Below are 23459 nucleotides of genomic sequence, written 5' to 3'. Positions count from 1 at the left end.
TTTACAATACCCATTGAATGATTAAAGTCAAATTTTAATGTGTTTGACCTAGAGAAACATGAATATTCAAGATAGATAGTAATGCTTTTCCCTTCCCAGACCTCTGTAAGAAAATTAGTTACAACATCTACAGCAAGCCTCACCATAGTAATAAGTGATATCTCCAGAGAAAGGATTAGTGACACTGGCCCATGGGGTTGCACGTGGTGCCACCTGGGATGACTCACCAGATATAATGAATACATGGGTCCCTTTCCCAAATGTGAGTTTATCAATTGTTCCTCCAGTATTCATACCGTAGGTGACACCATTGCACAAACTCACAGGACCTACCTATTACTTAAATAAGAGAAACACTGATCTCCCCCACAAGGCAGGAGAACAGGATAATCACACTCCTAAGGGTTAGACCTTCTTTTTTTTTTTTTTTTTTGTTTTTTTGAGAAGGAGTCTTGCTCTGTTGCCCAGGCTGGAGTGCAATGATGCGATCTCAGCTCACTGCAATCTCTGCCTCCCGGGTTCAACAATTCTCCTGCCTCAGTCTCCCGAGTAGCTGAGACTACAGGCGCGTGCCATCACGCCCGGCTAATTTTTGTATTTTTAGTAGAGATAGGGTTTCACTGTGTTAGCCAGGATGGTCTTGATCTCCTGACCTTGTGATCTCCCTGCCTCGGCCTCCCAAAGTGCTAGGATTACAGGCGTGAGCCACCACGCCAGGCCTAAACCTTCTGCTCTTTTGCACTGAAATTTCGCTTCTGATACAAAAGTTCTCCTCCTGTTCCATTCTGCTGTGATTCCCTGGGCTGAGGTTGTGACTTCATATGATTTCAATAAACCAATAATTCCCTAGAACAAAAACCTCAATTCCAGGCAGCAGTATCTTGGATATGTTTGTGGAAGGTTCAGGAGTACTCGCTCATTGCCTGCCTCATGGTTCCTAAGGTCCCAGCCTAAGGATGATGTCTGCAGAGCACCGAGAGCTGGATGGGAGGATTTTCTGGGGATGGGTGGAAGAAACCATTTTGGAGCCCACAGAGGAAAATACCTGGGTTCAAGTTGGCATTTTGGACAAAGAAGAAATAGTTGTCCGTCCTCCCTTGCTCTCCTGCTTCATTCTACTTACTTGGCCGGATGCTGAGTCTGGTCCCTGATCCAAAGATTATCTTGGAAGCACTGCTGTACCCCCACTGTGGGTAAGGTCTTTGAGATAACCTTCTTGATGCTAATCTGCTGGAAGCCACTGGGGTCCCAGAGCAACATTCTAAAAGGCTCCTTGGGTCTTTGTTGCTTACATCTTTTATTTCCCAAGGAAGCGATTCTCCTTTCCCTTTATGATAGTGTAAACCTTAGTATAAGCAAAGCCTCAATAATAATAATTATAATAATATTTTAGAAAAGCTACTACTTATTGATCACTTTTTACATTCTGGCCATTATCTCATATTATTATGATGTAGTTATAGTCATTTTGCTGCTGAGAAAGTGGAGGCTTTATTGAAAACAGCCAGTGAGAGTAGAGCCCAGATTTTCCCCAGGTCTGTGGGCCTCCCTCTACATTGCTGCCTCTATACCTTGTAATTGCATGTGGTATACTTGCCGTTCAGTTAGGGGTCTGGGCCACTTTTACCCTTAGGAGGAAGCTGAAAACTCTCCTAACTCCAGAGAGGAAGATTCTATGAGTAGGGATCCCCATACCATGTTTATTAGCCAATCCAGGGAATTTAGCTACATGCTGCAATAAAAGAGAATTTGTGTTTGCCATTAACTCATCTCTTTCCCCCAAGGGCACTTAGCTAATTTCCTGAATGTTCAGATTATCTGGTGCCGATATTATCAGCTTCACTTGAAAGCACTCATTATTTGGAACTCTTTTTATGTTTCTATAAATTATTCTGCTCAGATTTTCATTTACGCAATTGGCTCTTGGCACTTCTGTGTTTCATATGAGAAATGGGAACATTTTAAGTCACCAAGAGAGCTTGTAGGAATGGAAAATGAGTGCTTCTCAATATATCCCCAAGTTTGCTATAGATCATCACCTGTTTTCTCATAGACAAGTGGTCAGTTCTTTTTGCACTGGTCACTTGCAGGGTCATACTCACATGGGTGTACAGCCAGCCTGGTCCCTGCTCCAAAAATCAGCTTATTGTAGCCACCAGAAAACACACAATCAGATGGTGCTTTACAAGAACTCTGACCTGGGCAGGGCATGCCTGGCTGGGGCACTCCATCTCCTGTCCCTGTTTTCCAGGCTCCCCCAAGTCAAACTTTCTCTGACAAGAGAGAAAAGTCTCACCTACCAGGTCTTCATTCCACCTACTCACTCCTGAAGATGCATCAGAGGCCTCATTGATGCTGATTATTTCTTTCTAATCATCACGAAATAGCTTCATTTTATTTTGGCAATTGTTGAACACCTATGCAACTGTGCAGCAAATGCTCCAGCCACTGTCGGAACAGCTCCGGGGCAGATTAGTTGCAGGCGTCAACATGCAGGATCTACGATGCCCCAACACTTTGCAGGGTTTCCCTACTAGAAACAATGGCAACTTTAATGCCTTATTCCAAATGTGAATTTTTGGTCTTCTTTGTACACACCTTTCTAACACAACTTGGAGCTGTATATTTCCAAGATGATTCTGCTCCTAATGGAGAAAAGTTTCCTTAGAACAAATCTTTTCTAGGAGGTCTCTCAAGTGGAGACAGGCTTCATATATTTATCATTAGACCTCTTTCTTTTTTACTGCTAGAACTCATTTGTACTGCTTACTTATCGAGATATTGTAAACCTTCCACCTCTGATCTCTGATTCTTGAGAAATACGATAGGTTTCAAGCTTTATAAATTCAGCCTGAACCATGGCTGAGAAGAGGCTTTGATGAAGCACACATATGAACAGATAAATACAGAGGTGCTCTTCCCTGAGAGATGGGCCTTCTCCCACCACAGACATCTGGATGGATTCTGCAATCTCCTGGTTTTGAGGTCTAACAACTCTCTCTGTTAGAGAATATTTGTTAATGTATAAATCATAACTCATCTAGCCAGAAGGCATTTTTTTCCCCACAATCATTTGTTTGGTGACACCTATGTGCCAGGCATTGTGCTGAGCTGTAGAGCTGTGAGGATGAAAAAGGGTCCTGCCCTCATGGAGCTTAAGGTATAGTGGAGGATGTGTGTATGTACCAGGCAATGAGAATTGGAGGCTAGTCATGTCTTCTGTTGTGCTTCCATTGCAACTTGCATGTACCTCCACTATGACGTGGTGACAATAGGCTATAGTTGTCTGTTTGCACTCTGAGCTCCCGGATGGCAGAGACTCTCCCTCCTTCCCTGGATGAAAGAGAACCTCCCTCCTTCCCTCCTTTCCTCCTTTTCTTCCTTCTTCCCTCCCTCCCGGTCCTTCCTCTACTTCCTCTCCTTTCTTTCCTTTCCTTCCCTTCCCTTCCCTCCCATTCCCTTCCTCACACTTAACATAGTGCTTGGAATAAAATAATTGTCCAATAAATATTTGTTGAATACATAAACCCTCTAAATATTTCCATTCGTTTCTAATGCAGTTCTGTTATCTTCTTTCATTAAGACTATTTCATTTCTTCTTTAATTTCTATATGGTTCCTTTTTACAAACTTTTTATTATTTTTATGGCATTATTTAGGCTCTAAGTTCTTCCTATATCTCTCAATTGGATGTGCAGTTTTGAGAAAGTGTGTCCAATGCCCAGAGTCTTTGGGAAGCATAATTCATCACCTTTCATGAAAACTAAATGGAACAAAAATAAATCTTTTGGCATAATCAGTCACAGTTTCTTTTCTGATAAAGATCTTTTGTCTCAAAGGAATCTGTCTCTGCAATGATGAAATGGCCAATTCCCATTGGCAAATACTACCGTTAGAAAACAGACTATTAAGCTAGTGGCTAGGAATTAAAATTTCAAGATATTCAAGCCTCATAAAGAAACATGAAAAATTAGTTCAGGAAGTACAGATTCATCATCTAAGAAAGCAGAGTAGGGGCTTTCTGTGTCTTTGGCCAGAGCCTAAGTTTGGGTACTTACTTGGTTGCACTTGGAGTCTTGTTCCACTCCCAAAAGTAAGTGCTCTCCTGCCCGTGTCCACACCCTGGTACATCACAGTACAAAATCCTGCCCTCTGCCAGCTGGGGGCAGCTGCCCATGACCCTCATACACTCACAGTTTCTTGGGAGAAAAACTTTTAAGCAGCCTATTCTATGGTTTGTTGATACATTTTTCTTTCTCTCTAACTGTATGCGCAATAAACAGTCCCCCTAAGTTTCTCCTTCCCTCCCTGCCATACCTGTATTCTGCCACCCAACCCAATGACTCTGCTGATCTCTTCAGAAGTGCTGAGTCACCATGCCATGGTCGCTATGGTAAGAAGGCTCAGGATGGGCAAACCAAAGGCCAAACAGATGGCCTTTGAGGTGTGAAGTCTTCCTTCACAGAATGCAGGAGGCATGGTGGTGGCACGGTTAATAACAAGGCCCTAGAGTCAAACAGATTTGAGTTAAACTCTAGCTCTGTCATTCGTGGCTATATAATCTTGGATAAGTTACTTATCCCAAGCCTCTGTTTCCTCACCTGTAAAATGGGCAAAATATCGGCTACCTATTATTAGGATGTGTGTAATCACTGAATGAGGATTACATAAAAGACAAGAGAATGGCCACTGGTACGTGTCAGGCATTCAGTAAATAGTAGCTCATAATGGGATGATTCCCAGCAATGCTTTACACTGGGGGAAAGGATGAGGCTTCTTGCAGCCAGAAGCCCAGAAACGCATCCCTGTACCATCCATTCCAGTACCACAGAGTGCCTCAGCACCCTGGCTGGTATGCTCTAATTCAGGGGAAGGTATCTCACGGATTCTAGGGGAGGTGGTGACAGAGTCTCAGGTGGAAGAGACATAGGAGTGAGGGGGCAGAGTAGACCCCTTGGTTGCCAAGAAGAAAGTTCTGTTTTAGAAACCTAACCAAGAGTGAAGTCTTTTTTCACAACTTGGGGATTTGTCCTCTGAAATCATTGTGCAAAACCCTTGTCCGGCACAGCCTCAATCATCTCATCAGACCTGACACTGATAGTTACTCCCAGGCAACAAAGGACTCCTTTAATGATGGAATAGATCACAACACAAACTCTCACTACTACAGTATCCTTCCATAATATAATCTGTCTGCAAAATTTCCCTTGATCATTTCTATAATACTTACACGGATGAACAATAAGGCTGGTTCCTCTTCCAAATGTAGGTATGTAGCTTCCTCCTGATGCACACAGTGAGGACAGCCTTTGATAAAACCTGTTTCATGTGACCTCCCTCTACCAATTGCCCCATGGTATTGGGCAACATCCTGGGAAACCCTCCTGAATACTCTCTGAGTTGTAGAAAGTCTCCTACTGCTGTCCTTAGAGCCCCCGAGTGCTGGAGCCCAGGGGCGGGAGCCAGGGGCTGGGGACTGGAGAGCTCTTTGGCCCCCGTGTACCCAGGGGAAAATACCACCTTCCCATCAGCAGAGAAGCAGGGCAGCAACTCCCCATGTCTGCTCCCAGCACCCCAATACAAACACCACACTCTGCTTGCTTGGGGCAGACATTCTGAGGGTCTGGCTCTGCTACTCTTTAGTCAGATGCAAGGAGCTTCTGAAAGTGCTGCGAGGACAGAGAGCAAAGGAAATTTTATGTGACGTTTTTCCTGAAGCTGTTCTGACCTCCTTTTCTCAGAGTGCTCCTTGTTCTCTTTTCCTTTCCAGAGCTCTTTGGCACTTCCCACTCCTAGTCTTCTTCCTATGGGAGACCCTGGGGTTGGATTTCTGCATATCCCTGTTTGAGGCAACACTAAATCCAAGCAGGATTTAGGCACTTCCTGTGATTTGTGCTTTCATCCTTCCCTCTTTACCACCTAGAATTAGGCCAAGGCATCCAAAGCCCTTGGATTCCTTTATTTCTAATGACCTTGACTCAGACAAGGCCCTGCCTCTGTGAAACCCTACAATTACAGAGAAAAAAGTCACAATAATTTCCATAGAATTTTTGAAAGATGGGAGGAAACAGAGACCATGCTGTCTACTTCAGAGATATGAAAACTGAGGCTCAGGGAGGTCATGGCCTGCGCCACAGTCCTGAGCTGGGGCAGGAACTCAGTACTTGGTTCCCTAGCAGGTGGGCACTGTCAACACTCAGCTTATCTCACACTGGGTTTGAGGGTCACTTAGCAAAGAGCTGTGTGGCTCCACCAAACTCAGGGTGGGAGTAAAGGGCTGGGGCCCCTCCACTGCTGTGCACTGACCATCAGCACGGTCTTGGACAGATGCTAGACCCTGGCATCAGGTCCCTCTGCAACATGAGCAAGATGTCCCCACGGTCCCCTCCAGCTCTCACTTTTGTGGTCCTTTGTTCAATCTGAAATCCAGCCTCAGGGAAGATCAGGGGCAGCTTACATGAGAATGGGAGTGTGGTCAGTGGAGATGCAGAGAAGGGGAGAGTGAAAGAAACCAGGGACAGGCAAAGATTTGGGACAGTGGCCGCCTAAGGTTCTTCGATATAGCACTGATGAATGGCATGTCCTTCCCCCGCTCCCATGGAAATATGATAAGAGGCTCTCCAGCACAGGGTAGGGATGGGGGTGGCTGTGGCCATTTGTGCAGGAGGATCCCAGCTCACTTACTTGGTATGACCACCACTTGGTTCCCCTTCCCAAAAGCGAGTCTGTTGTTCCCATAGTCACACTGTGTAAGTGTATTACAAAAACCTCCTGGTTTTGCCCACCCCTTCTCTGAAGACACATCCCCTTCACAGTAGCTCTAAGATCTGGAAACCCTGAAAGGCGGATGCTAAAGTTTTCCTTGTAATGGGTGGTATGAAGACTTGAAGGAACCTCCCTAAAGGGTATAAACAGCACCAGACCCCACTGCTACCTGTTGGCCTTCATTTTCCTCATCACAGCTATCAATAAACACAGCTTTGGCTATTTCTCCTTTGGGAAAAACAGAATCTTCATAAAACTTCATGAAAAACATTGTATCCTACATAGGCTGGATGGGTGTGAGTATTTCTAAAGATACCAGAGAGCAGGCGGGCATTTTCCTACTTCATCTGCCATGCCTGAGAAGAAGGTACCATTTTCCTAGTGACATGTGCAAAAATGTATTTTTCACCTTGCCATAAATGCACACTGTGCTGGAGCACATGCTAAAGACATGCCTCGGCATGACTCAGAGTCACTCCATCCTCTTGGGGCTGAGTGAGAGTCTTGGGTGACTCACGCCTGACTCATTCCTGTTTCTGTCCTCACCCCCGCTCAAGGATGCTAACTGCCAAGGGGGCTTTTGTCCTCAAGAAAGTCAAAGATCTCAGCACAGAACAGACTCAATTCCGTTTCCAGAAACATATTTGGGGGAATCATGTGTGTTCTCTGCCAAAGAATGCGGCTGTGCATGGTCATACCTGTCCTGTCTCCAGCCCTCAGGAAACCCACCCCCCTATCTTGGCACATACACATATAAATTGTTGTTAGACTTTTTATTATGAGTGCTTAGTTTCTCTGATAAGACTGGAAGTTCTTGAGATCAGAAGCCTAAGATAGCTTAGGGTTTTAAAAATTCTTTTCTTTGTTTCTTTCTTTTAAAACCAATGATGATTCCCTGGTTTGTTGATGATACTCAATAATCATTTACTGAATTGAACTGACTTTTACTGTGCATAATTATTGGGACAGGGAGGCCAGTTTTGGGAGAGGTTAAAAGCTAAGTATACTCTGGGTAAATGTGAGCTGCAAAATCTAAGTGCTTAGGCAAGGAAAAACCAAGGAAGCATTTCTAAGAGAGATAATAAGAAGGCGGTATAAAAACCAAAACATCGTGAGGTTCATATGACCCTCAGCAGAGAGGTGGGAACTGACGAACAAATAAGAAACTTGACTCAAAGGAAATTCAAATATTTCCCTCCTGATATCTTGACAATAATTCTCCTTAAAGGTAAAAATAATAATATGGCAGAAAATGTATATTTGAAATTAGCAGCATTGTTATGATTAATAAGAACAAAATAGTAGTAATAATAATCTATTATAGACCAGAATAATTATATCCATATATGCCCAATATTGAGGATAGGGCTACACATTTCTGCAGATTTGACTTACTTGGACTGACCAGAAGTCAGGTGCCAGTTCCAAATACAAGTTTCTGAAAGCCTGTGTTCACACTCTGACATAACTCTGTACAAAATGGGACCCTGTCACTGGGCCATAGCCTAGGATTGCCAAGTCACATGCAAGTTAGTTACTAAGGGTGTTTCTATGTCTGCATGCATGTACCAAAGTGGTAGGAGGCATCTAATCTTACTATTTAACCTTAATTTTCCTAAGACCATTGGAAGATGACAACAAATCAGATAGAACCCAACTGAAGATTCTGCTTTGTATACCTTGGGTTATATAAAAATGTCACTAATATTCAAGTTAAAAAAGTTATTAATATAATTACAGAGTTTCAGTTCTAGATAGGACCTAGGGAAGTTTTATCCATCCACACTTAACTGTTTGTTATTATACATGTTTCTTGCAAGAGTGATGCCCATGGATACTGTACAGTGCAACATTATTATTGCCAATGTATCTTCTAATTTAACTGGCAGACAAAACTATGTCCCCTTCCCCCTAAAAAGAAAAAAATCAATGAAAACAGATGTTCTTCAACTGTAATATAAATCAGGTTATTTCATGGAACTTACTTGCTTTAACAAATAGTCTTGTTCCTGCTCCAAAGATAGTTTTGAAGCCTCCAGTATTTCCCACAGTGATTTGCACTGCGACAAAATGGGCCATTTCCTTCTCCTTCCATTTTTACACCACAGCTGGGGAGCAGGTCTAGGGAGCCTATACTAAGGTGCTAGTAATAAGGAGGACATTTTTATACTCCCCTTGTAAAACCTATTTGTTTTTCCTGTTTATGAGCATAACTCACACTTCCTACCTATCAGAAGTTTAGTTCACCAAACAGCAGTCACAGAATATGGCCCCAGGACCAGGATCTCCAGGTTCTAGTCCCAGCCCTAGTTCGCACTGACCTTAGACAATTCAGCCAACCTCTCTGGGTCTTAATTTCCTTATTGGGAAAATAAAGAGGGGTGAACTAGATATTTTGAGGCTGTCTCTCAGAGCTAAAGTTCTATGTGCAAAGTGCCTTCACCCTGCATTTCTCTATAACTCACAAAGGAGTCAGGCTCTTGTAGATCAGTTATATTGGTGGCTGGTCTGCCTGGGGAAAATACAAGAAACAGCGAAGGAAAGGGACAGTCAGAACAAGGGAGTGGCTGCAGCCAGCTCCCCTCTCTTTTCTCCCTATTGGGGTAAATGCTCCCAGCAACTCTGTACTTTGTTTTGTCATTGAAAGGGGAGGAGAACTCTTTAGACACTTGGGGCATCCATGTCAAGATTTCCCGAAGCACCCTCTCTAACTCACAGCAATATCTAAAGTAGAAAAGATAAATTCCAAGCATTTCACCAGTCACTGTGATTGGCATCACCTCTCATTTCTAAGTAAACTAGAGCACAAGCTCTACGACATCATGCAGTAGAAAGAGCAGGGCTTTCAGGTGTGGTGGCGCATGCCTGTAACCCCAGCTACTTGGGAGGCTGAGGCAGGAGAATCGAATCGCTTGAACCTGGGAGGCAGAGGCTGCAGTGAGCTGAGACTGCACTGCACTCCAGCCTGGGTGACAGAGCAAGACTCTGTCTCAGAAATAAATAAATAAATAAATAAAATAAAATAAAATAAAAGAAAGAGCAGGGCTTTTTAGTCAGGCAGGCAGACCCAAGTTTAAATTTAGGCCCTTTACTTACTAGCTTTGGGATCTTGGGCACTTCCTTCTCTGAGCCTCAGTTTCTTCTTTTGTAAAATAAGATACTTCCCCTTACCTCACAGAGTTATTTCAGATGAACAATTCTACATGTCATGCATCTAGCATCGTATCTAAACATGGTAGGGACTGAGATGGTGGTTATTATTTCTATGTTAAGTTAGGTTGTTGATTAACAGGGCTATTTCCTGAGGGTCATAGAATTTGTTTATGAAATACTCACAAGATTCCATACTCTCGAGTCCTATAAACTCTCGGGTGGTATAATAGCGAAATCCCAGAACAACAGATTTTGAGGGCTTTGACCCCCTCATCCACTGGAGGAGTCTGAGGTGCAGAGAGGGGCAATGACTCGTTCCAATATCACACATCCAGTTGGGACCAAATCAAACCTAGAACTCTGGACCGAAACAAGAAGCCCTGGGTTCCTTTCTCTGTACTTCACTGACTCTTCTTGGATGATGTTTAGCATAAGGGGGCACAATCTCTGGAATGAATTGGGAGTGGTTTTTTTGGGGCATGGCTAAAATGACCTTGAATACCCTCTTCTAAATGCACCACTGAGTCCATGGCAGTGGAAGTAGAAAGGATCTATTTGATCATGACGGTGCAATTTTCTGCTCTTCTAGCTCTTTTCTTCCATTGAGCATCGTTTAGCTTAATACTAGTATTAAAAACTCTCACGTTGAAGAGAGCTGAAAATCTCATATCTTGGAAAAAGTCTTAGTGGTTAGCTAAATTCCACCCTAACGAAAGCATGCTTATATAGCCTTTGAATACTTTCACTAATTTATCTGGATGTCACAATTCTTAATGCTTCAGTAATAGATTAAAAATAAGATACAATGACAAAAATTACATCACCTTTTCTTCCACTTATTGTCACCAGAATACATTTTGTAATTACCATAGAATCTCATACTTACTGAGTTCCACTTTTAGCTGAGTGCCTGTCCCAAAGGTGAGTTTGTTTCCTCCTCCCGTGAGTATCACAGTGTTTGATGCCTCACAATAAACTCCCTTTTGTCACTTCACCCCTCTTCTTGATGTGCTCTAATGAGTTAGAAAACACTCAAGCTTTAAAATAGCTATTGAGTTACTCCTAGGAGAAAAAAGTGCCCCAAATGGGATACATTCATAGACTTTTTGTACTAAGAGGCCAGAGAGGCCATTGGACCCACTTCCCCATTTACAGATAAAGAAACTGAGGCTTAGAGGCAAGAGATCTGGTCTAAGTTACATTGCTAGTTGGCAGCAGAGACCAAAACATGGCTCTATTTGAATCCCAATCTAGCATTTCTTCCTCCCCACTACACGCTCAAATGTACTGTGTCATTTGCTTAATTTTCTTCTTCCCTTTGGCCTGGAAACCTGATTTCTTTGGGTGTTTAACTTCAATTAAGCAAGAATTTATCAAGTATTTACTTTTGTAAAAGGACCATATCAGACACTTCATGGAATATTAGAGACTGTCTATTCTCAAGGATCTTTTGGTTCAAATAGGCAGATATTCTCAGTAAGAAAAGATTTCTGTAGCTGCATAGGTCACAGATTGTCTAAGATTCCACAGCTAAATTTGGGATATGGAGGGTTAGAGGAATGTGAAGGGTGCCCGGGGAGAGACCACAGTCTAGGCTTTAAACAGGAAGTGAGTCTATTTCTGGAAAAACCACGTTTGTCCTAATTGTCTAGGGTATTACTCCCTTCTCCATCCTGACCTAGTGAATTAGTTCTACTGTTATTTCCAACTCTTCTATTAGCTATTTTCATTTTTAAATGAAGAGTCCATGGAGGCTCAATCTTAAATTCACAGAACATTGATAATAAAACAAGGATGATGAAATCCATGAGGATAACACGCAATACATATGGAAGCCTTAAACCAGATAGGGGGAAAACATGGGTGGGATGGGGTCAACATGTACCTGGAGAGACTAGAAGCATAGTCCCCTTCCCAAAGGTGAGGGTGCTGTATCCTGAATTCACACTATAGCAAATCCCCATACAAAAATGATTTGCAGTGTTAGGTATTTCAACCCATGATCTACTTAGGGAAAAGGAAAGAAAACCTTCATTTATGAGCCAAATGGATTAATAATCTGCATATATTCCACTACCTCATTTGGGCTTCAACTGTGCCATGAGCTTAAATATTATCCTCATTTTACAAATGAGGGATAGGTGATCTGAGGCTGAGCAGGTTGGGCCAGCACTGCTAACAAAGATGTAAGTATCCTGGATCCACAAGACACTTTGGCAGAGGATGGATAAATCTTAGGAGGAGCTTTCAGAGAAGAATCCTCTTCCTTGTTCCTTCTAGAGAGGGATTACAGCTATATTAGGGTTCTTTTGCTAGAACCAGACATCAGAACTCTAGTAACAGTGCTCCTAAAAAACTCCAGCTCATTTTGCATTATACAATCATTTCCTGAGACATGAAGACATTTTACCCTCAATCTTTCTGTTGCCTCTCTGACACCTTACTTACCAGGCCTGACCAGCAGTCTGGTCCCACTCCCGAAGATCAATTTATAGCTGCTATCCATCCCACAGTGTTTCTTAGTCAGTCAAAAACACCCAGAAGCCCACACATCCTTTTCATACCTAAGACCTAGAGATATGGCCTTTTCACCTACAAGGAGATACGGGTTACATTTTCACTTCCTTTTTACACAGGCCATTTGACTCAAATTTGGGGTATTTACTGCATATCACTTGAAATGAAGTTTCTACCTGCCCAACTCTCTGGGTCTGTCGCCATCAAATTCATGATTTTCAACTCCATTTATCCAACAGATGTAGCTAGCCCTTCTTTCATTTCCATTACAGTTATCAATTTTTAGATTCCTGACATAGTGTCACCCCTAATTTTAACTTCAATCAATCTGAAACTTCACGGAATAGCATTCAGATCATCATGAGTGGCAGCTTCCTGCTCCCCCGAGTCAACTCATTTTAGAAGCTCAGTGACTCAGTGGTAGCCTTGTTACTTACCTGAGTCCTATCCAGCCCCCAGAACCAAGCATCCCTCTGATTAAAGGACACCCACTCTGCTTTAAGCTTGGTAAAAAGTACCACTTGTCTTCTCTTTAGTTCTTTTCTTTGCAAATCTACTGTTTTCCATTGGCTTCACAGGCAATGTCTTAGTTTTTTTTGATATTAAGAAGAAACACACACTGGACAAAACAATACTAAGAACATGCTAAAGGATGTTCTTATACAATCCTTTTCAGTCTCCTGAAACAGCCAGAAAAGAGCAGGCCCATAATATCTCTTTATGTGCTCCAAATGTTACGGTCTGAGAGAAGACAACACAAGGAAGAGGAAAGCATAGGAAATTGGACTCACTTGGGATGACTTGGAGCTTTGTTCCAGTTCCAAAGGTAACTTTCTGGTAACCCCCAGAATTCACACTGTAATGCCTGCCTTTACAAAATGACTTCCCTTCCCCTGCCCTTTTCATTTGGGTAGCATTTGAGCCACTATATTTCAGTAGAAGAGAAAGTGCTTTTTACCAATGCCTAGGGCTACAGATCACATGTAAATGGCTATTTCACTAAGAACCTACAAATTCTCATGTTAAAAGAATTCTAAATCTGACATAGTTTTTTTTTGTTCTATAAACAAATAATATTTTACATGTGGATAGCATTTAAGAATTTACAAAATACTTTCACATATATTAGCTTATCTTTAAAATAAATATATACACCTATTATGTACCCACAAAATTAAAACAAAAAATCTGAGGTGATATTAAATGTTTTCATTTTATAGATAAAGATACTGTGGCCCAGATTCACTAATCAAGCCAGGTCAGCAGAACTGGAAGTGCTCAGCCAGACTTTCTGCCTTTTTCTTTAGGATCAACTCTCTAGGCTCTTTCAGTCTGTTGCGTTTGGTTCATCCACATGGCTATTTTTTTTCACAGCTAGCTCTTCTATCCTCTGTGCCATTACTTTAACATTTCTTCCTTCATTGGAATCCACTTAAGTCTGCATAAACCATTAATTTCTTGACACTTGGGCCTTCCAAATACTGCAGTAAGTTTAGTGGGTCTCAGTAGCCACATTAAGCCTCCTACTTTAGTGACATATTGCCTACTTACCAGGTTTTACTGATAATCTTGTCCCACTCCCAAAGATGAATGTGCTATAAATCACAGCACTGTGCTGCCTGACAAAAATGACCGAGTTACCTTGATAATAGATTAATGTGGTTAGCATGCAGCTATCCTCCCTCATGGGAGCTCTGGCTGGGATTCCCCCTTTTTGATACTGGAATAAAGACTAAGCCATGGAATTAAGCCTGAGAAAGCCTCTTTTCAGGGCACCATAGTGGTACAATAGATGTAGTGGAAAGCCTGAGAACAGTCCAAGTGATATTCTCTAGACAACTCTGAAACTTATTTCTTTCGAGGAGATTTACATAATTTCACCAAGTAATCTTGTTTTACTAGCCAAAGGATAGCAGCTCTGACCCCCATTTTTACCTAGGAATCAACACCTGTACATAATCTCGTTTTACCACTGTTTAGCAAATTGCTCATATCCTTGTAGATAATCTTTCTTTCTTCTATCAATTAAAATTTTTTTAAGAGCATGGAATAGGACAGGGGCTATGGTTGGAGTATTAGGGGTGAGAGACAACATCCAATTTTCCCATGTGTTTAAATGGCTTTCCTCATCAAATGTCAATATTCCTTAACTCAAAGAAATAGGAGGCATTTGGTCACCTGTGCAATATATGACTACAGGATAAGTACAAGCACTATGATCAATAATTATCAGGTACTTACTGGAACTCACTGATAAGGTGGTTCCCTTCCCAAAGATCAGAGCAGTTCCTGCCTGGTTGGCACAGTGAAATGAGGCCCTGCAAATACCTCATGTACCTGCTCACTCAAATCCACCTTGGATATAACTATAAATGATGGAAATTTGCAAAAATCTCAGTAGGTTTTAGTATTTGGGTATGAAATAGCAAAGCTCTGTAATTTCATGAAAAAGAGCGGCAGTTGGTGCTAAGTCCTTTATTCACTCAGTAACTGTTCACTGAACACCTCCGATGTGTAAAGACATTGTGCCGGCACTAGGGATACGGTGAGAGCCACTTAGACACTGTCCCCGTCCTCCTGGTGTCTACGGTCTAGAAGAAGGCAAACAATAAATACACAGATAGTATAATGTTAAGTGATGAAAGTGTGTGAATTAAAATCAGGCTAAATAACAGGGTAGAGAGCAGCCAGGCAGTGGCTGTGTTTGATGGCTTGTTAGATTGGCTGGGTAAGACAGGCCTCTCTGAGGTGATGTCTAAAGTGAAGTCTAGGCATGGAGGAATTAATCATCATCCCTTTTGCGATAAATGGAGGGGCTGAAAGAGCAGATCCTGGATCCGAGTCACACAGAGTGTCCACATGGACACTTAGATCATGTCTTCTCCCTGCTGAAGTGTTAGATGTAAAACTAACCATGTAAATTCCTGGTTAGAAAAGGTAAAGTAAGACCGATTTTCTCTCTTCTCTCAGAGTGACTTTGGGATGTTATCTGGGCACCTGGAAGCTTTGGCCCTGGCCATGGAGGGCACTGAGGTTGCAGGGGGCTGCCAGCTGCAAGAGAAAGTGTTCGCATTTCAGAGCAGACTTCTCTGATGCAACTGACCACTGGGCTAAGGAGACGTCTTCCATACTGCTTCTCTGTTAAGCTTCCATTCTGCTTCCCTGTTAACAATGCAAACTGCTACCTGGCAGAAGTGAGGATGGAGAAGGCATGAAGAATGCTCTGCTCCCCATGCAATATGGATAAATCGAGAACATTTGGCAGTCCACTTAGATTTCCAAAAAAGCTTATTACTTGTCTCAAAAACTAATCAATTAAGAATTCATTAGTAATAATACTTACTAAGATCCACCTTTAACATGGTCCCCCTTGCAAAGAGCAGCTTCTGGCCATCTGAAAACCCACAGTGATCTATTGTACCACAAAAACCAAAGGATGCTTCATTTCCAAGCAGAGTACTTCTCCCAGGGTTCTTTTGCTTGGTTGAAACCTAATCTAACACTAAGCACATATTTAGCTAAACTCACGAAAAATTTTAAGCTCACGCACTCTTTGGAATGGTGGGAAACTTCAGAGACCATTTACTGTAAGCTCTCAACTTCACACATTTCTCTCCTGAGTGACCTCAGGTTTCTGAAGATCTCCAGGGAAGGTCTTGTTCACCAATTCTCATGTTCCTTTTTTTTCTTATAATTAGAGAGGTCCACCTTATATCCAAACCTAACCATTTCTCTGCCATGGCCAAAGTCCATTAAACTTGTTCACCTTTAAGTTTACCCTCAAATGAAATTTTGCATAAAATCTAACTATTAAAAATCATGAGGCCGGGCGCGGTGGCTCACGCCTGTAATCCCAGCACTTTGGGAGGCCGAGGCGGGCGGATCACGAGGTCAGGAGATCGAGACCATCCCGGCTAAAACGGTGAAACCTCGTCTCTACTAAAAATACAAAAAATTAGCCGGGCGTAGTGGCGGGCGCCTGTGGTCCCAGCTACTTGGGAGGCTGAGGCAGGAGAATGGCGTGAACCCGGGAGGCGGAGCTTGCAGTGAGCCGAGATCCCGCCACTGCACTCCAGCCTGGGCGACAGAGCGAGACTCCGTCTCAAAAAAAAAAAAAAAAAAAAAAAAAAATCATGAATCATTTGACCACCCATCTTTTTCAAGGAGATTTCACATATATTATCTCATCTGAATTTCATAGCATCCTTTGAAGTAGTCAAGGCTGGAATAATAATCTCCACATTTTAGGTTAACTGAGGCTGGGAGAGCTTGGTGATCTTCTCATGGCTGCCTAGTGAGTGAGTGGCTGAGCCGGGGTCCATACTGTTTTTTGGCTTCTAGTTGAATGCCTTAATGATTTATTTTGCACACGTTCATGTATTGATCATATTACCTTGCCTTTCAAGTATGCCTCCTTTCTTATTCTCTCCCTCAATGAAAGAGACAATACCATCAACAAAACAATAATCCCCCAAAAGAAAACCCTCCAGCTCAATTCCTTTTCAGAGCAGCGACTTTTTAATCCTCACACACTTTCTGTGAACCGGAAGATAATGGTTACCAATATTTCAGTTACATTAATTGGGAAAAATGAGGGCCAGAGGAAATAAATCAGAATAATGGTTATAGAGGCTGCAGGCTGGTACAGACAGCAATATTTTGAACCTTAGAAATTGTAAGTCCTTGCTCTGCTATTGTAACCATATTCAAATCAACTACTCTGAATAGACAGAAACGCCACGTCCAAGTTCCTCTGCCTCTTGGGAAAATCAGTTAAGAAATGTGAAGAAATAAGAAAAGTACCTTTTACTATGTGCCTTCTCTTAAGAAAATAGATTCTAGAAAATGTCAAGATGACAATATCCTTTATCCATGCTGAATTTGTACATAAGTGCATGTTTATGCATAAGAGCAACATGAAACATTTTAAAGACAAGTTTGAGACATTAATTTGGGCCAATACGGCACATTGAATTGCAAATTGATGACAAGGCTCAATTGTGGGTCAAGCCCCAGTACTCACTTGGTTTAACTAGCACCCTGGTTCCTCCTCCAAAAGTTAGCTTGTTGCCTGCAGCTTTGATCACACAATGATTTAAGGCCCAGCAAAAACCACAGGGACCAAGAAAATAACACTCAGTTGGTGCTCAACAAAGGACATTTTCTATGGTCTTGGAAAAGTGGAGGGTTTGCAATGTGCAGGGTAATCCTATCTCCTAGCACTGTATCCTCTTCATAGAGCTGGAATGCTTGCAAGTGGGCACATATTTGGGTCTAAGCCCTTCACATAGTTATTGTCTACTCTGCTTTGGGAATTCGGATCTTGCTCTGTGAATAAGGATAATATTAATAGCTCTCAACCATAACCTCATTCAGGGGCCCACTTGGCCATTTTTGTCTCACAAAGGCAATTTTCTCTGAAAACAGAAAGCCCTGTAAGCTCCAGGGAGTCTTCAGAGTAAGGCTATTCATACATTCAGAATGGAAATGCTGAATGAACACACTCATATACATGCATGCACTTGCTAACAGGGTTTCTGTATTCAATCGAGTGCCCAGGAAAGGCCCCAAAGAGAGGACGAGTACTTCAGTCCTAGGTCCTCCCAGCTGCCATATCCACTGGATACTGCGGATCAACTTTACTTTCTCAGTGAAAGTTTCAGACCCAGACTCCCTCCAGCTACTCTAGAGCCCATCCATCGGTGAGGCTAAGTGCTGAGGAAGCATGGAAACAGGCTTCTTGGGGAAAGTTTACAGAGAACCACGGAGAGGCCATTCTCAATAAGAAAGAGTGCAGCGACAGATGGAGCCTCTGACAGGGAGACGGCCAAGAGTCACAGGACCCAAGAAAAACACACCTTAGAAAGCTGGTCTAGTTTGCTTGCCCATTCTGGGTGGAGGGCCATGTCCTTCACCAAATATTGTGGGTGGACCAGAGCAGGTGTTTTAGGATGCTCACATGTTTTAGTGGGACCTCCCTTCTTTGCCTTTGGTGGGGACCATCAAGTTCTCTCTGATTCCTGGGTTCCTAAAAGGGACTTTCCATCGCCTTTGTCTCCCTCTGCTTCCTCGTCCTAATCTACCTAGGGACTGGGGTCCTCCAGGAGGGGAAGTACACATATCTCTTTAGTTTCAAGACTAAAGGAGTTAATTCATCTCCCCTTTTAATTTCTCCACAGTAATATTTTCCTGGAATAGAAAGCGACTCACTCACCAGGCCAGACAGTCAACTGAGTTCCTCTTCCAAAGTATAGCCTCCCCAGGGTTGAGCCTCTGTCGGCACAATGCTGGTCCCCTTTACATGAACCCAGCCCTAATGTTTCCCATCCCCTCTCCCCTCAGCTTTGGAGTACAGGGTTGAAAATTTGCCTCCATCCTCCTTAAGCATCTGTAAGTCTTCTTCTTGTGCAGACAGCAGTCTAAGCTAGACAGTCAGTCCTCAGATGCTATATCTCCAGGGACAAGTGATCTGTGGTAACAATAGTCTTTCTACCTTCAGAGTTCCCTCCCATCAGAAAGCAATTACACATCCTTTTGAGTGTGTTTAAATTGGAAGAAACTTTGCTCCCCTGGCCCTATTTTCGAGTACAAAAGGCTGCTCACTTACTTGGAGTGACATTATGTTTGGATCCCTTTCCAAAGGTGAAATTGTAAAATCTTTGATAGCCACATCTGTCCTCTGCAAAATCACCTCATTTCCTTCATTCAACCTCTGAGCCTCCCTTAAGACATTCCCTTTATCTCTTCCTTCTTTTTTTCCTCCTTGATGTCTCCTATTGTTTTCTCATTTACTGCACTGGGAAATCATACCCCACCATCTTCTAGGTGTAAAAATCCCAAGTAGGCTTTAGCTTATGAATAATTTGATGAATTATTTCTTTGGCTATCAAAATAGTAAAAATAGAAGAAACAAGTCTGAGCTCACCTATTAATCCTCCAGGCTTGAGTCATGGGATCTTAGCATTTAGATTTGAAAGGGAGCCCAGAGGTGATTCAATCTAATAGCTAAAATGGCATAGAAGTGCCTTCTGCAACATCTCATGGTTAACCTTAGGGGTCTGGCATGAAGATATCTAAGGAAGAAAAGTTCCATACTTCACAAAGCAGCCTTTCCACTGCAGGGCAGTTCCACTTGTTCAACAATGTTTGAGGGGAGGTTGGGGCACATCTTGCACCTGCTCGTTTTGATTTGGCCTCCACACTCACCCCTTACCTGGTCTACATCGTAGTTCTTCAAATATTTGAAAGGAGTTAACTCTCTCACTTAGAGACCTGAGATAATTTCAGATAATTAGCTCAGTTTTTATCTGACCACAAAGACTGCGCCACCAACAAATGTACCATTGTGAAGTCATGCCTTAGGAGGAGCTGTTCTGAGGTGACAGAGAAGGCGAGGGAGACGTGTGAGGTAGAAAAATTATGGTTCTAACACAAACTGGGAAAGCTCTTAGAATTTAGTTCTTGACATTGCACTTCCTAGGTGAAATTGCTGAAAAACCTACCCACCATTTTGCTTAAAATTATTCTGGACTTTTCTTTCTTACTTACTTGCTCTTACAGTTACTGTGGTTCCGGCTCCAAAGCTGAGCTTGTAGTCGTTAGAACCACAGTGCGAGGTCGCCCTACACAAACCTCACCAAGACCATGGTTAAGAGAGTGGGCTAGGGGACAGGCAGGCCAGGCTCTTAATCTAGCTCTGCCCCTCATCTGCGGTGAGCCCTTGGGTAACTATTTCAACCTCTTTGCTTTAGTTTTACCTTTCACACTGTTTCCTCATCTGTGGAAGCGGAGATAGGTAATATCTATCCCAGAGGGTTGTTAGGAGGGTCAGATGAGTCAAGGTATGAAAGGTGCTTTGCATATTGCGAATGTTGAAGAAATGTTAGTTATTAGAGTATTTTCAAGAGGATCTAATTCTTTTCATCTTTAAATAATACATATAATTTTAATTTGTCATGTCTCCTCTCTGAAATCCTGGACATTCAGGGGTGCTTTAAATTATATCCAAATGCTCTTTTGTTCAGTAGCAACAGTTAAAATTTGGGCATTTTCCTTATAAAGAATAGCACCTTGAGAACATTGGCAGTTTCAGCATGTCTACTCGATCATGAGATTTGTTTACTACATATCTGTTCAAGTGACATATGAATAAGGACTAATAAAATATCATGGGTGGGGACCCAAAATGCAAAATAAAAGAACTGAAATACAGACTGAAAAGAAGAATTTAGCATAATGTGTTGGTAACTTTTTCTTCTAGGCAACTATAACTTACTTGGTTTTACATTGAGTTTGGTCCCAGATCCAAAGTAAAATTTGTTGAAGTTGTACACCATGTTTATTGGCATTACAAAAAATCCCCTGGCACTTCCTAAAAAGGAGACTTGTTATCCAGAGATGACTAACCAAATTAGACCAAGACTAACCCAACCCTACCAGTTCTTTGCTAATTCCCTGGAAAATTTGAGAACCAAAGTGAGGAATGAGCAGGGAAGGCACATTCATTATCAGAGACAGGCAAGATAAGGGCAACTGGTTTTCTTCAGTGGTTTTATTGATTTCTTTTCTTTAGTTTTCTGCTTGGGTTCATTCTTGTGTCCTCTGTGCTCAATGCACACAATATTTGAAACAGGACACTGCAAGTAAATGTTCTTTACCTTTCTCTTTTCCTAATTATAAATGAAAATTCCCCTCAGGTAGACTTAACTAAGGGGAAAATTCATATTCTGCATTTAGCTCCAGGGTGATCTGGAAGCTTCTCTCTGAGACTCTGTATCTGAATCTGGGTTGCACTTGACAACTAGACCTGAGCTTTTCTTAAGGACACCCCGAGCAACGCCAGCTGACCAGTGGTGCTCTGTATGTATGATCTAATAAGATCACTATAGCCTCTCTGTGACAGTACCTACATTATACAACCATGTATATTTTAGCATCCACATTGACACTCTCCTCCCAGACCCCACAGTCAAACTGTACATTTTGGCTTTTTTTTTTTTTTTGCTTCCTGCTTGCATATTCCCTTCAGAAAAAAAGAAACAAAGCAAAAGAAAAAAAAAGAGCCTGCAGTGTTAGTTGTCATTTGCAAGTCTAGATGAAACATTATTTATGGGTAAAATATTTTGCTGGCAATTTCAAGAGAAAAGAAACCTTAGTGCCAACAGTTAGACGCCCACACAGTTTGGAGTTAAACAGATCTCAACAAATGAACACAGTTATGAGAAGTAACACAGAAGTGACTTCAATCTAAGCCAAGTAATTATAATACTCATGCAATTTTGGAGGGCCAGGGGCTTACTTGTTCTCACTTGTAGAAATGATAAGCAATGTGTTACAGCAATGCTTTGCTGGAAGGGCACCAGAGAGCTATAGAAATAGAGCCTCATTTAAATATCTTAAATATAGGCACCTCTATGTTTAAAGACTTATTTAGAAATAGCTACTAGAATAGGCTAAAAATGTAAGTGACCAACTAGACTTGGTGTGAGACAGTTTTTGTAGCACGTAGGCTGGTCCTAGTGCAAATATTTTCAGAAGCAGAGGTTCCCCTTATGGAATCTGTTCCCATTATTCAGCAATTCTTCTAAGTTAAAATGAAATTTTTTTCTATTCATTTTCATTAACTCCTATTACTAAAAGCCTTAGCAAAAAGCTTCTCTTTCTCTTCTTGGTCTCTGATAAATAATTCTCTGCTCGCATTACCCTTTCTAGTATGCATTGTTGCTGTCTCTCCCCATCTTCAACCTCAGGCCCATTAAGTTACATGTACAGAATACATTTGTAGATTAGTAAATCAGTGCAAATAGTATTTAATTGAGGCAGCCTACCAGGTAAAACAGTCAATTGTGTCCCAGATCCAAAGGTCAGTTGCCTTGCAGAACCAGAAGAAACACTATGATTTGCTCAACAACAAAAACCAGATCAAACAGGCCAGGTTGGCAAAGCACTGAATAAAGAGCTGGCAGTGCTTCCTTTATGAATTAGGCCTGCATCACTGTTAATCTAGGTTTGGTCTGGAGTAGCCAAACTGACTTTCTACAAATCCTAAACTAACCCTCCTTCGTCTTTACAATCCCATTTTCTTTTAGGGGACCTTTGCTTTCCACTTTCCACTACAAAGTTCTAAACATTAACTGTGTATTTTCGATATATGTATAGAGCAAATACTCTCTGATTTTAGGTGTCAAAACAGCACTTGAATCTTTTCATCCAAGGAGACTCACAAAGTCCAGAATAGAGAATACGCCTCCTCTGTTGTGGGCATCACTGGATTATGTCATCAGAGAACTGTCTGAATTCTTGAATCCTCCTGAGACTGAGTCTATAGAATCAAAGTGAGGTAGGTACAGAGCTGGCATTGTCCAGTTAATTTGGCCACTCATTTCACACTGATAAAATAACTTTATAATAATCAATTATCAGACAAATTCCTAGTTTTCTACTTCACTTTTGGGCATTTCCCTTCTCCTGACTAAAGTGGTATGTGTGTTAGTTATCTGCTCAAGGACTTTAAACTGCAGCAAAAATTAGTTTTAGTATTTCCTAAGGAAGTGATGATAGTATAAGAGAGCCATGCCCAAGAGAAATCAGGGTAAGCATTGTCATATCTGGGAAGAAACATGGAATCCACCTCCAGAATGTAAGTTTCATGAAGGCAATATCACACTGAGTTTGCTTCCTGTTGGATCCCTGGTTTCAGCAACGAGCCTGGCAGAGGGCAAGTACATGAAAATATTTGTCAGATGAATCTTGCGGACTCTTCAAACTTCAAGTTTGAGCCAACTGACAGGTTTGGCAAATTAGAGACCTAAAATCTAGTTCTAGCTCAGCCATAGACTGGCTGTGGGGCCGGGATCTGTCTCTTCCCTGAGCCTCAGTTTTCTCATCCATGGAGAAAGTCAAAAAGGAATGTTGTCAAGGTTCTCTCTGCTCCGTGAGGCTACGCTGTACGAATTTTTGGCTGAAAGTCTCAGAAACAGGAAGTGTCCCTCAGTAGTCATGAGTAAACTTTTTAAAAAAAAGTGG

At 42.0% G+C, this 23459-nt stretch overlaps 21 gene segments (V, D, J or C) and 1 further gene, besides 2 other annotated features; all 22 read right to left on the bottom strand.

The window, feature by feature from the left end:
• TRA (T cell receptor alpha locus) overlaps window positions 1–23459 on the bottom strand; it is a 930229-nt gene that overhangs the window by 7769 nt on the left and 899001 nt on the right.
• Window positions 228–293, bottom strand: TRAJ2 (T cell receptor alpha joining 2 (non-functional)). The segment is given in 1 exon segment: window positions 228–293. A coding segment is annotated over 1 exon segment (66 nt), but the record flags the coding sequence as incomplete, so codon positions are not given.
• On the bottom strand, window positions 1124–1185 carry TRAJ3 (T cell receptor alpha joining 3). The segment is given in 1 exon segment: window positions 1124–1185. A coding segment is annotated over 1 exon segment (62 nt), but the record flags the coding sequence as incomplete, so codon positions are not given.
• On the bottom strand, window positions 2103–2165 carry TRAJ4 (T cell receptor alpha joining 4). The segment is given in 1 exon segment: window positions 2103–2165. A coding segment is annotated over 1 exon segment (63 nt), but the record flags the coding sequence as incomplete, so codon positions are not given.
• TRAJ5 (T cell receptor alpha joining 5) lies at window positions 4058–4117 on the bottom strand. The segment is given in 1 exon segment: window positions 4058–4117. A coding segment is annotated over 1 exon segment (60 nt), but the record flags the coding sequence as incomplete, so codon positions are not given.
• On the bottom strand, window positions 5230–5291 carry TRAJ6 (T cell receptor alpha joining 6). The segment is given in 1 exon segment: window positions 5230–5291. A coding segment is annotated over 1 exon segment (62 nt), but the record flags the coding sequence as incomplete, so codon positions are not given.
• TRAJ7 (T cell receptor alpha joining 7) lies at window positions 6684–6742 on the bottom strand. The segment is given in 1 exon segment: window positions 6684–6742. A coding segment is annotated over 1 exon segment (59 nt), but the record flags the coding sequence as incomplete, so codon positions are not given.
• Window positions 7018–7487: an enhancer, noted in NCBI's record as "active region_8126". NCBI's record gives its function as "activates an Ori minimal core promoter by ATAC-STARR-seq in GM12878 lymphoblastoid cells {active_cell/tissue: GM12878}" and the evidence as "EXISTENCE:reporter gene assay evidence [ECO:0000049][PMID:35858748]".
• Window positions 8160–8219, bottom strand: TRAJ8 (T cell receptor alpha joining 8). The segment is given in 1 exon segment: window positions 8160–8219. A coding segment is annotated over 1 exon segment (60 nt), but the record flags the coding sequence as incomplete, so codon positions are not given.
• On the bottom strand, window positions 8750–8810 carry TRAJ9 (T cell receptor alpha joining 9). The segment is given in 1 exon segment: window positions 8750–8810. A coding segment is annotated over 1 exon segment (61 nt), but the record flags the coding sequence as incomplete, so codon positions are not given.
• On the bottom strand, window positions 10804–10867 carry TRAJ10 (T cell receptor alpha joining 10). The segment is given in 1 exon segment: window positions 10804–10867. A coding segment is annotated over 1 exon segment (64 nt), but the record flags the coding sequence as incomplete, so codon positions are not given.
• Window positions 11189–11238: a silencer, noted in NCBI's record as "silent region_5585". NCBI's record gives its function as "represses an Ori minimal core promoter by ATAC-STARR-seq in GM12878 lymphoblastoid cells {active_cell/tissue: GM12878}" and the evidence as "EXISTENCE:reporter gene assay evidence [ECO:0000049][PMID:35858748]".
• TRAJ11 (T cell receptor alpha joining 11) lies at window positions 11803–11862 on the bottom strand. The segment is given in 1 exon segment: window positions 11803–11862. A coding segment is annotated over 1 exon segment (60 nt), but the record flags the coding sequence as incomplete, so codon positions are not given.
• Window positions 12366–12425, bottom strand: TRAJ12 (T cell receptor alpha joining 12). The segment is given in 1 exon segment: window positions 12366–12425. A coding segment is annotated over 1 exon segment (60 nt), but the record flags the coding sequence as incomplete, so codon positions are not given.
• TRAJ13 (T cell receptor alpha joining 13) lies at window positions 13226–13288 on the bottom strand. The segment is given in 1 exon segment: window positions 13226–13288. A coding segment is annotated over 1 exon segment (63 nt), but the record flags the coding sequence as incomplete, so codon positions are not given.
• On the bottom strand, window positions 13986–14037 carry TRAJ14 (T cell receptor alpha joining 14). The segment is given in 1 exon segment: window positions 13986–14037. A coding segment is annotated over 1 exon segment (52 nt), but the record flags the coding sequence as incomplete, so codon positions are not given.
• TRAJ15 (T cell receptor alpha joining 15) lies at window positions 14676–14735 on the bottom strand. The segment is given in 1 exon segment: window positions 14676–14735. A coding segment is annotated over 1 exon segment (60 nt), but the record flags the coding sequence as incomplete, so codon positions are not given.
• TRAJ16 (T cell receptor alpha joining 16) lies at window positions 15778–15837 on the bottom strand. The segment is given in 1 exon segment: window positions 15778–15837. A coding segment is annotated over 1 exon segment (60 nt), but the record flags the coding sequence as incomplete, so codon positions are not given.
• Window positions 17458–17520, bottom strand: TRAJ17 (T cell receptor alpha joining 17). The segment is given in 1 exon segment: window positions 17458–17520. A coding segment is annotated over 1 exon segment (63 nt), but the record flags the coding sequence as incomplete, so codon positions are not given.
• Window positions 18649–18714, bottom strand: TRAJ18 (T cell receptor alpha joining 18). The segment is given in 1 exon segment: window positions 18649–18714. A coding segment is annotated over 1 exon segment (66 nt), but the record flags the coding sequence as incomplete, so codon positions are not given.
• On the bottom strand, window positions 19042–19101 carry TRAJ19 (T cell receptor alpha joining 19 (non-functional)). The segment is given in 1 exon segment: window positions 19042–19101. A coding segment is annotated over 1 exon segment (60 nt), but the record flags the coding sequence as incomplete, so codon positions are not given.
• On the bottom strand, window positions 19983–20039 carry TRAJ20 (T cell receptor alpha joining 20). The segment is given in 1 exon segment: window positions 19983–20039. A coding segment is annotated over 1 exon segment (57 nt), but the record flags the coding sequence as incomplete, so codon positions are not given.
• Window positions 20710–20764, bottom strand: TRAJ21 (T cell receptor alpha joining 21). The segment is given in 1 exon segment: window positions 20710–20764. A coding segment is annotated over 1 exon segment (55 nt), but the record flags the coding sequence as incomplete, so codon positions are not given.
• TRAJ22 (T cell receptor alpha joining 22) lies at window positions 22262–22324 on the bottom strand. The segment is given in 1 exon segment: window positions 22262–22324. A coding segment is annotated over 1 exon segment (63 nt), but the record flags the coding sequence as incomplete, so codon positions are not given.

This window comes from Homo sapiens, chromosome 14 (assembly GCF_000001405.40).
Source record: "Homo sapiens chromosome 14, GRCh38.p14 Primary Assembly".
NCBI lineage: Eukaryota > Metazoa > Chordata > Mammalia > Primates > Hominidae > Homo > Homo sapiens.
The sequence above is the reverse complement of the archived record's forward strand: the minus strand, read 5'-3'. Positions and strand labels throughout refer to the sequence as shown.